At 42.5% G+C, this 13,435-nt stretch overlaps 1 protein-coding gene across 31 annotated transcripts in view, besides 1 other annotated feature; it reads right to left on the bottom strand.

The window, feature by feature from the left end:
* TENM3 (teneurin transmembrane protein 3) overlaps positions 1-13,435 on the bottom strand; it is a 1,355,412-nt gene that overhangs the window by 12,552 nt on the left and 1,329,425 nt on the right. For all 31 annotated transcript variants that reach the window (XM_017008385.2, XM_017008389.2, XM_017008390.2 and 28 more), the window contains one exon: positions 1,084-1,380. In XM_017008385.2, the coding sequence (XP_016863874.1) occupies positions 1,084-1,380 (297 nt within the window). The remainder of the gene's footprint in view (positions 1-1,083; positions 1,381-13,435) is intronic.
* Positions 5,580-6,081: an enhancer, noted in NCBI's record as "H3K27ac hESC enhancer chr4:183705545-183706046 (GRCh37/hg19 assembly coordinates)". NCBI's record gives its function as "activates a minimal SCP1, AML or CMV promoter by ChIP-STARR-seq in primed H9 embryonic stem cells {active_cell/tissue: H9 hESC(primed)}" and the evidence as "EXISTENCE:reporter gene assay evidence [ECO:0000049][PMID:30033119]".

Below are 13,435 nucleotides of genomic sequence, written 5' to 3'. Positions count from 1 at the left end.
GCTGGAATTAGTTGGGATGGCTCAGGGTTCAGGGGGTTAGGTTTAGACTGAGCCATTCCCCAGGGCACCTCTGGTAAAGAACAAGATTGTGTGAGGGGAGCACAGTGACAACATGGATGTGATGTGATTTCTTTGGGTGACAAGAGTTCCTCTGTGCAACGTTTCAGTCAGGAGGGGTGGAACAGTAACTGCCGAGTAGTGTGTAGCACGCGCTGCTGGGTAACTGGTGGTGCCATGCTCTGGGGTCTGAGAGCTACCGGAACTCAAAACAGAATCATTTTCTAGGGCGAACTTTTGTCTCAAAGGCAAATGAAACATTCCATGAATATGCTTTTCGGTGGATATTTCTTAAGAAAGGAATTACATGGAGATTGTTCTTTCCTTTTTCTTCCCTTTCTTTTACTTTCATTTCCTCTGACCCCAGTCAATACCCCAAGCCGCACAGCATACAACTTAGCATTTTGCACACGTGTAATTCTAAGTCTCCATTTTTGATACTATGCATAGTTCTCAAGAATGGAAAACAGCCTAATCTAGGAGGCTTACCTTTTATATGTAGAAGAAAGGAAAGATGCCACAGAGTACCCGAAAGTGTGGCTTTCTAAGAAAATCGCCTCTTTTGGTTAATAATGCGTAACTAGGATCTACATGCTTTTTATGATTATGTTGAAGCTCTGCCAGGAATAACACAAAGCTGACAGCTTTAACTGTGCTAATGTAAGGCTCTCTCTTAAATGGAAGAGCTAGCACGAAAATTATTTACAAGCGACTTACACGCTCAAGGTCTAATTTGTGAATGTTGTCAATGTGTAAGCTTGGCAGGTGGACAACGTTAATGCTTATTTGTTTACATCATAAATCACTTAAAAGGGTCTCAGACAGTAGAACTTAACTAAGGAGAAACTACTTTGCTAATGCAGAAATTCATCACTGCTGTGCCAATGTGACTTCCGTATTGATACTTCGAATAACAAATGGAACTCAGTCATGTGCCACTGTTTTTTTTCCCCTTAGTGCTCTGGATGATTGCTGAAAAATGTGAATTATCCTTTCCCTATTGTTGAGCTTAGTTTGCAGGCATACCTTTTCTAAATATGTGTAACTCCATGTTTTACCATCAGCAAAGACCCGAGACACGATCCTCCCCTGTCCGTCATAATCTACTTTCTCGCTAGTGGTGCCTCGCTGGATGCTGGCAATTTGACCTGTGGATGAATAGGTGACATTGACGGCCATCAGCTTGCTGCTTGGCAGCCAGAGAGTCGGGTGCCCAGACGTGTCGTAGGCGATCCTCAGTAGAAATTTACGGTGGTCGTCATAGATCTTTTCTGTCTTTGTTGTTCGATCAAAGTCAACTGAAAGGAGGTTTCTGCCATTAACCTGTTACAACACCAACAAGATGATAAAATAAATCATGTTATTCCAACACCGGAGTCCCCAGTATTGTTTAAACACCATTTACGATGATTGATTCTCTTTGTCAGTAAATTAACTTAGCAACTTCTTGGGTACAAGTGCAAGGCAGTAGATTAACTGCTCTTTTAAAATGTTTTATTAAGCAGAAAGACAGCCTGGCATTTGTTCAAAACCATTTCAATTAAATTTTGTAAACTAAAGCAACTGATAAGAAAAATACCAAAATGTATGTGTCTTAAAGTTTGTTCAGGAGCTCTAAAGGTGATAAACATGACACCTGTTCATATGACTCCAAGCTCCTCCCCCAAAAGACACTGGAAAATAATTGCTTAGTAAATTAATCATGGCTACATTAAATAAAACACAGCGGTTAATGTGACTCTGGCCCTTTGAAGAGCAGTTAAGTAGAAGTTGGAACCCACATTACTGTAAATTATTAATGAGTTTCAATAGCAGCAGGTTATAAACAAGATCATTGCTTTTGGCCCAGTGCTGCAACGTCACAGTTTTTTGAGAAGGCGTCTTTCTTTGGAGAAGATCTGGTTAACTGGCAGGGACTTCAGAGTCCTTTACTAACACATACACATGATCCGAATATTGTACTTATCTGACAAATTCAGCACCATGTGTTGTCATAGAGTCTCTGTGGCTAGGTGCCACGTCCAGAGCCTTGGACTAAATCTGGCTGTTACCGTCTGCCATCCGAGGCATACACAACCCAGCCTTCATTATTGCAATAGAAATGTGGTCCCGATTAAATTCTGCTTTACCAATAGTCTCCAGTGTTTGCAGGCTGTGAACCTCTGAAGGGCAGAGACCATGGCCTATTCATTCTCTGGTCTTCTACAGCACCTTTGTGGGAGGGGTGGCTTGTACATTCCAAAATGCTCATTAACTGTTTTGATTGTTAAAAATTAAATGGGAACATCTTAATTTTACATAACCATATTCTAGCTAGAACCTTCAAAGTGGACAGATCCAGCTGACCAATTTTACACACACACACAACCACTCACGTTTATATATAAATATATGTGTATATACATACATCATATATATTTGTAAAATTTGGAATAAAACTGCCTTTTGCATTCTATCATTCACATTAAACATGTCCCATGCAAAAATAATCCTTAAGCTTAAACTTTTCCTATTGGCTGTTCAAGGGGAGTATGGTGAAGTCCGTGGAATGGCAGCTCGATAAGCTAAAAAGCAATGATGTTGAGGGTGGGAAGCACCCAGAGAGCTGATTTACAAAATATAAGGAGGCAGAGCCCTGGAGAGAAATCACATCTTTTTTTTTTTTTTTTTTTTTTTTTTTGAGGTGGAGTTTTGCCCTTGTCGCCCAGGCTGGAGTACAGTGGTGCGATCTCGGCTCACTGCAGCCTCCGCCTCCCGGGGTTCAAGCCATTCTCCTGCCTCAGCCTCCCGAGTAGCTGGGATTACAGGCGCCTGCCACCATACCCAGCTAATTTTTGTATTTTTGGTAGAGATGGGGTTTCACCATGTTGGCCAGGCTGGTCTCGAACTCCTGACCTCAGGTGATCCACCCACCTTGGCCTCCCAAAGTGCTGGGATTACAGGCACGAGCCACCGAGCCTGGCCTAGAAATTACATCTTAACTTTTCAGTTCTATCAGCTGATGTGGGCAAAAACCCCACAACACCGTGTCACAGCAGATAGTCCGGAGTGGTGGTTGGGGGAGGAACCCAAGAGTCCGAAGCCTGATCTCCAGACCTGAAGCAGCCTGACCTTGGCTTTCAACCCCTCTGAGTCTGTTTTGTCCATCTGTAAATAAAGAGGTTGGCCTAGATCCCTTAGGCTCTGTCTTTCAGTGAGTTTTATTCGATTCTGACCAGCCAGCTGGAGGCTTTCTGAGCTTCCATGCGGAACTGTCTGCATATCAGTTGCTCCCTGCCTTATGTGAATTTTGTGAAACTTTATGAGTTGAGCTTTGTAGAATACTTTGTGTACCTTGGAAAGAAGCTACCGGCTAGTTACATATATATATTTTAAAGTCTGTAGAAATATTTGTATCAAAGTGATAAATGGCAGAATCAAGTTCTTCAGCTTATACCTGCACTCTAATTTTGGATGCCTCAAGAAGAGGTTTTGCACAATTTAAATGGTTTTCTTAGGGCTCTTGAGCGCCTGTGATTGTGTTTTGAAAGGAAAAAATACCCTGAATGTTTAAGGTTGCCCTTTTTTTCTTCCTTAGATTATCCCGGGCTTTGGAGGAACTACAGAAGACTGACTGTAGCTTCCAGGGACAGTGCTGCCATGTTATTATTGCCCATGTGTTTGCATTTTCCTTGGCATTCATTTTAATTTGTATTAATTCTTTACTGCTTCCTGGACCCTCCTTCATCTCTGCGGTATTTCCCCTGGTTGGAGTATGGGAAATCTGGACCACAGAGTGGATATGACGTGCTGCTGTAGGGAGACAGGCATGGAACCCCATGCTGCTCGGGCATCTGATTTCTTTTTTTTTTTTTTTTTTAAGACGGGGTCTCACTCTGTCACCCAGGCTGGAGTGCAGTGGTGCAATCTTGGCTCACTGCAACCTCCTCCTCCAGGTTCAAGCAATTCTCCTGCCTCAGCCTCCTGAGTAGCTGGGATTACAATCATGTGCCACCACACCTTGCTAATTTTTGTATTTTTAGTAGAGACGGGGGTCTCACCATGTTGGCCAGGCTGGTCTTGAACTCCTGACCTCAGGTGATCCACCCGCCTCCGCTTCCCAAAGTGCTGGGATTGCAGGCGTGAGCCACCGTGCCCAGCCCTGGCTTCCGATTTGCACCTTTGGTTTGTGAGTGTGGCTAGGCGACACCGAAACACCCAGATGCAAGTCAGATGATGCCATCACTGTGCGTGCCTTGGACAAGCACCTGGAAGCAGTGAGACCCAGCATCTGGACAGAAGGTATGATTTTTCTTTTATCCAGACAAATACTGGATGCCGTGCCTTTCTTGTATCCTCAAACCAAAGTAATGAGGAATGAGTTAGAATGTGGCTATGTTTTTTCCCAAATTCCCAACACAAGCCAAGGCTTTAACCATTCTTACTGTTTCCAGACACCGCTCTCTGTTATTCAGTACGGAACATTTCAAAAGATACTAAGAGCTCTCATGTTTTTCACCCCCTTACCATGCCTGGACCTTCTCCTTTGGGTGTTGTGAACAAAAGAACAGACAAGGGGCACCTGCGTTCCAGGACATGGTCTTGCTTCACCACATCTTTATGATGTCAGGGCAACTTTTCAAGTCTTTTTTTTTTTTTTGTTACAGTCATAAAGTACCAGCATTATTCCAGGCTTCAGTGGCTTTTTTTTTTTTTTTTTTTTTATCTTGAGACAGGGTCTGGCTGGGACACCTAGGCTGGAGAGCAATAGTGTGATCTTGGCTCACTGCAGCCTCGACTGTCTGGGCTCAAGTGATCCTCCCACCTCAGCCCCGTGAGTAGCTGAGACGAGAGGCGTGCGCCACCACGCCTGGCTAATTTTTGTATTTTTAGTAGAGACAGGGTCTCCCCATGTTGCCCTGGCTGGTCTCAAACTCCTGGGCTTAGGTGATCCACCCGCCTCAGCCTCCCAAAGTGCTGGGACTACAGGTGTAAACCACTGCGTCTGGTCTTCTGGTAGCCTTTTAATAAATATTTTTAATTATTATTAAAAATATCAGGTTAAGACCGGGAGGGGTGGCTCATGTCTGTAATTCCAAGATTTTGGGAGGCTGAGGCAGGCAGATCACTTAAGGTCAGCAGTTTGAGACCAGCCTGGGCAACATGGTGAAATCCTGTCTGTAGAAAAATACAAAAATTAGCCAGGTGTGGAGGTGCCTGTAGTCCCAGCTACTTGGGAGCCTGGGGTGGGAGGATCACTTGAGCCTGTGAAGTCAAGGCTGCAGTGAGCCAAGATCACACTACTGCACTCCAGCCTGGGCGTCCCAGCAAGACCCTGTCTCAAGAAAAAAAATATGGGGGAGGAGCCAAGATGGCCGAATAGGAACAGCTCCGGTCTACAGCTCCCAGCATGAGAGACGCCGAAGACGGTGATTTCTGCATTTCCATCTGAGGTACCGGGTTCATCCCACTAGGGAGTGCCAGACAGTGGGCGCAGGTCAGTGGGTGCGCGCACCGTGCGCGAGCCGAAGCAGGGCGAGGCATTGCCTCACTTGGGAAGTGCAAGGGGTCAGGGAGTTCCCTTTCCCAGTCAAAGAAAGGGGTGACGGACAGCACCTGGAAAATCGGGTCACTCCCACCCGAATACTGCGCTTTTCCGACGGGCTTAAAAAACGGCACACCAGGAGATTATATCCCGCACCTGGCTGGGAGGGTCCTACGCCCACGGAGTCTCGCTGATTGCTAGCACAGCAGTCTGAGATCAAACTGCAAGGCGGCAGCGAGGCTTGGGGAGGGGCGCCCGCCATTGCCCAGGCTTGCTTAGGTAAACAAAGCAGCCGGGGAGCTCGAACTGGGTGGAGCCCACCACAGCTCAAGGAGGCCTGCCTGCCTCTGTAGGCTCCACCTCTGGGGGCAGGGCACAGACAAACAAAAAGACAGCAGTAACCTCTGCAGACTTAAATGTCCATGTCTGACAGCTTTGAAGAGAGCAGTGGTTCTCCCAGCACGCAGCTGGAGATCTGAAAACTGGCAGAGTGCCTCCTCAAGTGGGTCCCTGACCCCTGACCCCTGAGCAGCCTAACTGGGAGGCACCCCCCAGCAGGGGCACACTGACACCTCACACGGCAGGGTATTCCAACAGACCTGCAGCTGAGGGTCCTCTCTGTTAGAAGGAAAACTAACAAACAGAAAGGACATCCACACCAAAAACCCATCTGTACATCACCGTCATCAAAGACCAAAAGTAGATAAAACCACAAAGATGGGGAAAAAACAGAACAGAAAAACTGGAAACTCTAAAAAGCAGAGCGCCTCTCCTCCTCCAAAGGAATGCAGTTCCTCACCAGCAACAGAACAAAGCTGGATGGAGAATGACTGACGAGCTGAGAGTAGAAGGCGTCAGACGATCAAATTACTCTGAGCTACGGGAGGACATTCAAACCAAAGGCAAAGAAGTTGAAAGCTTTGAAAAAAATTTAGAAGAATGTATAACTAGAATAACCAATACAGAGAAGTGCTGAAAGGAGCTGATGGAGCTGAAAACCAAGGCTCGAGAACTACGTGAAGAATGCAGAAGCCTCAGGAGCCGATGCGATCAACTGGAAGAAAGGGTATCAGCGATGGAAGATGAAATGAATGAAATGAAGCGAGAAGGGAAGTTTAGAGAAAAACGAATACAAAGAAATGAGCAAAGCCCCCAAGAAACATGGGACTATGTGAAAAGACCGTATCTACGTCTGATTGGTGTACCTGAAAGTGATGGGGAGAATGGAACCAAGTTGGAAAACACTCTGCAGGATATTATCCAGGAGAACTTCCCCAATCTAGCAAGGCAGGCCAACGTTCAGATTCAGGAAATACAGAGAACGCCACAAAGATACTCCTCGAGAAGAGCAACTCCAAGACACATAATTGTCAGATTCACCAAAGTTGAAATGAAGGAAAAAATGTTAAGGGCAGCCAGAGAGAAAGGTCGAGTTACCCTCAAAGGGAAGCCCATCAGACTAATAGCGGATCTCTCAGCAGAAACCCTACAAGCCAGAAGAGAGTGGGGGCCAATATTCAACATTCTTAAAGAAAAGAATTTTCAACCCAGAATTTCATATCCAGCCAAACTAAGCTTCATAAGCGAAGGAGAAATAAAATACTTTGCAGACAAGCAAATGCTGAGAGATTTTGTCACCACCAGGCCTGCCCTAAAAGAGCTCCTGAAGGAAGCACTAAACATGGAAAGGAACAACCAGTACCAGCTGCTGCAAAGTCATGCCAAAATGTAAAGACCATCAAGACTAGGAAGAAACTGCATCAACTAACGAGCAAAATAACCAGCTAACATCATAATGACAGGATCAAATTCACACATAACAATATTAACTTTAAATGTAAATGGACTAAATGCTCCAATTAAAAGACACAGACTGGCAAATTGGATAAAGAGTCAAGACCCATCAGTGTGCTGTATTCAGGAAATCCATCTCACGTGCAGAGACACACATAGGCTCAAAATAAAAGGATGGAGGAAGATCTACCAAGCCAATGGAAAACAAAAAAAGGCCGGGGTTGCAATCCTAGTCTCTGATAAAACAGACTTTAAACCAACAAAGATCAAAAGAGACAAAGAAGGCCATTACATAATGGTAAAGGGATCAATTCAACAAGAAGAGCTAACTATCCTAAATATATATGCACCCAATACAGGAGCACCAAGATTCATAAAGCAAGTCCTGAGTGACCTACAAAGAGACTTAGACTCCCACACATTAATAATGGGAGACTTTAACACCCCACTGTCAACATTAGACAGATCAACGAGACAGAAAGTCAACAAGGATACCCAGGAATTGAACTCAGCTCTGCACCAAGTGGACCTAATAGACATCTACAGAACTCTCCACCCCAAATCAACAGAATATACATTTTTTTCAGCACCACACCACACCTATTCCAAAATTGACCACATACTTGGAAGTAAAGCTCTCCTCTGCAAATGTAAAAGAACAGAAATTATAACAAACTATCTCTCAGACCACAGTGCAATCAAACTAGAACTCAGGATTAAGAATCTCACTCAAAACCGCTCAACTACATGGAAACTGAACAACCTGTTCCTGAATGACTACTGGGTACATAACGAAATGAAGGCAGAAATAAAGATGTTCTTTGAAACCAACGAGAACAAAGACACAACATACCAGAATCTCTGGGACGCATTCAAAGCAGTGTGTAGAGGGAAATTTATAGCACTAAATGCCCACAAGAGAAAGCAGGAAAGATCCAAAATTGACACCCTAACATCACAATTAAAAGAACTAGAAAAGCAAGAGCAAACACATTCAAAAGCTAGCAGAAGGCAAGAAATAACTAAAATCAGAGCAGAACTGAAGGAAATAGAGACACAAAAAACCCTTCAAAAAATTAATGAATCCAGGAGCTGGTTTTTTGAAAGGATCAACAAAATTGATAGACCGCTAGCAAGACTAATAAAGAAAAAAAGAGAGAAGAATCTAATAGATGCAATAAAAAATGATAAAGGGGATATCACCACCGATCCCACAGAAATACAAAGTACCATCAGAGAATACTACAAACACCTCTACACAAATAAACTAGAAAATCTAGAAGAAATGGATAAATTCCTCGACACATACACTCTCCCAAGACTAAACCAGGAAGAAGTTGAATCTCTGAATAGACCAATAACAGGATCTGAAATTGTGGCAATAATCAATAGCTTACCAACCAAAAAGAGTCCAGGACCAGATGGATTCACAGCTGAATTCTACCAGAGGTACAAGGAGGAACTGGTACCATTCCTTCTGAAACTATTCCAATCAACAGAAAAAGAGGGAATCCTCCCTAACTCATTTTATGAGGCCAGCATCATTCTGATACCAAAGCCAGGCAGAGACACAACAAAAAAGAATTTTAGACCAATATCCTTGATGAACATTGATGCAAAAATCCTCAATAAAATACTGGCAAACCGAATCCAGCAGCACATCAAAAAGCTTATCCACCATGATCAAGTGGGCTTCATCCCTGGGATGCAAGGCTGGTTCAATATATGCAAATCAATAAATGTAATCCAGCATATAAACAGAGCCAAAGACAAAAACCACATGATTATCTCAATAGATGCAGAAAAAGCCTTTGACAAAATTCAACAACCCTTCATGCTAAAAACTCTCAATAAATTAGGTATTGATGGGACGTATCTCAAAATAATAAGAGCTATCTATGACAAACCCACAGCCAATATCATACTGAATGGGCAAAAACTGGAAGCATTCCCTTTGACAACTGGCACAAGACAGGGACGCCCTCTCTCACCACTCCTATTCAACATAGTGTTGGAAGTTCTGGCCAGGGCAATTAGGCAGGAGAAGGAAATAAAGGGTATTCAATTAGGAAAAGAGGAAGTCAAATTGTCCCTGTTTGCAGACGACATGATTGTATATCTAGAAAACCCCATTGTCTCAGCCCAAAATCTCCTTAAGCTCATAAGCAACTTCAGCAAAGTCTCAGGATACAAAATCAATCTACAAAAATCACAAGCATTCTTATACACCAACAACAGACAAACAGAGAGCCAAATCAGGAGTGAACTCCCATTCACAATTGCTTCAAACAGAATAAAATACCTAGGAATCCAACTTACAAGGGATGTGAAGGACTTCTTCAAGGAGAACTACAAACCACTGGTCAAGGAAATAAAAGAGGATACAAACAAATGGAAGAACATTCCATGCTCATGGGTAGGAAGAATCAATATCGTGAAAATGGCCATACTGCCCAAGGTAATTTACAGATTCAATGCCATCCCCATCAAGCTACCAATGCCTTTCTTCACAGAATTGGAAAAAACTACTTTAAAGTTCATATGGAACCAAAAAAGAGCCCGCATCGCCAAGTCAATCCTAAGCCAAAAGAACAAAGCTGGAGGCATCACACTACCTGACTTCAAACTATACTACAAGGCTACAGTAACCAAAACAGCATGGTACTGGTACCAAAACAGAGATATAGATCAATGGAACAGAACAGAGCCCTCAGAAATAACGCCGCATATCTACAACTATCTGATCTTTGACAAACCTGAGAAAAACAAGCAATGGGGAAAGGATTCCCCATTTAATAAATGGTGCTGGGAAAACTGGCTAGCCATATGTAGAAAGCTGAAACTGGATCCCTTCCTTACACCTTATACAAAAATCAATTCAAGATGGATTAAAGACTTAAACGTTAGACCTAAAACCATAAAAGCCCTAGAAGAAAACCTAGGCATCACCATTCAGGACATAGGCATGCGCAAGGACTTCATGTCTAAAACACCAAAAGCAATGGCAACAAAAGCCAAAATTGACAAATGGGATCTAATTAAACTAAAGAGCTTCTGCACAGCAAAAGAAACTACCATCAGAGTGAACAGGCAACCTACAAAATGGGAGAAAATTTTCGCAACCTACTCATCTGACAAAGGGCTAATATCCAGAATCTACAATGAACTCAAACAAATTTACAAGAAAAAAACAACCCCATCAAAAAGTGGGCGAAGGACACGAACAGACACTTTCCAAAAGAAGACATTTATGCAGCCAAAAAACACATGAAAAAATGCTCATCATCACTGGACATCAGAGAAATGCACATCAAAACCACAATGAGATACCATCTCACACTAGTTAGAATGGCAATCATTAAAAAGTCAGGAAACAACAGGTGCTGGAGAGGATGTGGAGAAATAGGAACACTTTTACACTGTTGGTGGGACTGTAAACTAGTTCAACCATTGTGGAAGTCAGTGTGGCGATTCCTCAGGGTTCTAGAACTGGAAATACCATTTGACCCAGCCATCCCATTACCCCATTACTGGGTAAAGGACTATAAATCATGCTGCTATAAAGACACATGCACACGTATGTTTATTGCAGCACTATTCACAATAGCAAAGACTTGGAACCAACCCAAATGTCCAACAACGATAGACTGGATTAAGAAAATGTGGCACATATACACCATGGAATACTATGCAGCCATAAAAAATGATGAGTTCATGTCCTTTGTAGGGACATGGATGAAATTGGAAAACATCATTCTCAGTAAACTATCGCAAGTACAAAAAAACCAAACACCGTATATTCTCACTCATAGGTGGGAATTGAACAATGAGATCACATGGACACAGGAAGGGGAATATCACACTCTGGGGACTGTTGTGGGGTGGGGGGAGCGGGGAGGGATAGCATTGGGAGATACACCTAATGCTAGATGACGAGTTAGTGGGTGCAGTGTACCAGCATGGCACATGTATACATATGTAACTAACCTACACAATGTGCACATGTACCCTAAAACTTAAAGTATAATAAAAAAAAAAAAGAAAAGGAAAAAAAAAAAGAACACATTGTTCTTAGTAAAACCAGTAACAAAATCTGTCTCTAAAATAAAACTAAAAGTACTAACAATTCTTCAAGACATTAAAAAAAAAAAGAAAAAAATATATATTTATACACACACACACATACACACACACACTTAAATAACAATCTAAAAGTGAAACCTTATCTCAGATCGCTGCTACACCTCCAGCTATATGAAAATGAATCCATTTGTTGTGTATGAATGAGATCACCATGAATTCCTTTGTGATGTATACTTCCTTTAAGTAAGCATGGAAAAAAATCTCCATTTTCAAAGATCATGTCCAGCATGATTGTAATTAATCACAACATCACTTTGATGTTGGGAGCAGGCAGCTATAATCTTCCCTCTGGAATATGCTTGAAAAGAATATGACGCTACACAATTTTCCCAGGGAGTGATACCAGCAGATGGAATTACACTCACTTAGCCAAGATGTCATGGGGGGAAGTAAGGAAGGGCAGGCTCATTCCCCAGTACACTGGGTGGCGATATCAAGACTCTCTTTTGTCCCTGGTAGAGCATCAACTTGCTACAGGTTGTTTTGTGTGCCTGCTCCATCAGCAGGTGCCAAGTGCATTGTGCCGTCCCACGCTAGGCCGTGCCGCTCAGATTAAAGTGAGAAATAGGCCACTACGCAAATGTGACTGGCATAATGAGATTTAAATACACTATCATATTTATGCATGCCTTTAAACACACGTTTGGCTTTCAAATTTTGAGATTTTCTTTTTTAAAATGATTCACTACGATTTTTTTTTCTCTAAGCCTCTGAATCTGGGCAGCTTTAGGGGATGAATTTTATTATTAGAACACCATGACAATTTTTTGTAATTGACTGAAGGCAGGTTCTACAATCCAGCCCTGATAAAACCTAGGAATATTTAGTAAATATTATAAAGCACAGGTAAGCAACTGCTATCTATGTGTCTTTTTAAAAAAATGAGCTGCAAACAAGTAAGTACAGAATGGTTGTCTTTATTCTGCGTCCTTACATCTCTATCACAGTTTCCTGTGCTTGTTATTTTCTGCTGTGTCCAGCCTGTCCCCTAATGTACTGTTTCACAGAAATGCTTTTTACATTGCTGTTTTCTTATATGATTTTTCCATTTCTACTCCCTGCCTTTTTTACTTTTTAAACATATATATATATATATATAACAGCATATATATATATATGCTGTATTCCTAGCACTTTGGGAGGCCGAGGCGGGCAGATGACTTGAGGTCCCGAGTTCAAGACCAGCCTGGCCAACATGGTAAAACTCCGTCTCTACTAAAAATACAAAAATTAGCCGGGCATGGTGGCGTGTGTCTGTAGTCCTAGCTACTTGGTGGGCTGAGGTATGAGAGTTGATTGAACCCGGGAGGTGGAGGTTGCAGTGAGCCAAGATCACACCACTGCACTCCAGCCTGGGCAACAGAGTGAAACTCCATCTCAAAAAAAAAAAAAAAAAAAAAAAAAAAAGAAATACACACACACACACACACACACACACACACATAAACACATTATGTATAGACAGAGAGAATGATATCTCTATTATCTCCATTTAACCTATTATTTCTAGTGTTAGATTTATAGCAGTCAAACATTTGCAAGGATGTGTTCACATAGCCCCTCTCTTGGGAAGATCTAGGTGCAATGGCACAGAGAGAATTCATATTGTGAGGCTGGCTTTCCTCATTCTTTCATTTATTGGATAAATATTTGAGTGTCCACCATGTGACAGGCACATAGCTAAATTTAGGTCAACAACTTAAAAATGAACAGGACATTCTGCTAGGAAATAATGCAAGGTAAGAGAGGTGGCATCCTCTGTCTCAGGAAAGAGTGGAAGAGAAATGGGTGGCTCTTTGGGCTGATTCTCACTGTCTTGGTGGGCTCAGGTCTTCCCCTTCTCTCCCCTCTTCTCTATTTTGGCAGACTCCAGGCTCAGTCCTTAAACCAGATTTTCATATCATCACTTTCTCCCTA

The sequence above is a fragment of the Homo sapiens genome, chromosome 4 (genome assembly GCF_000001405.40).
Source record: "Homo sapiens chromosome 4, GRCh38.p14 Primary Assembly".
Lineage (NCBI taxonomy): Eukaryota > Metazoa > Chordata > Mammalia > Primates > Hominidae > Homo > Homo sapiens.
The sequence above is the reverse complement of the archived record's forward strand: the minus strand, read 5'-3'. Positions and strand labels throughout refer to the sequence as shown.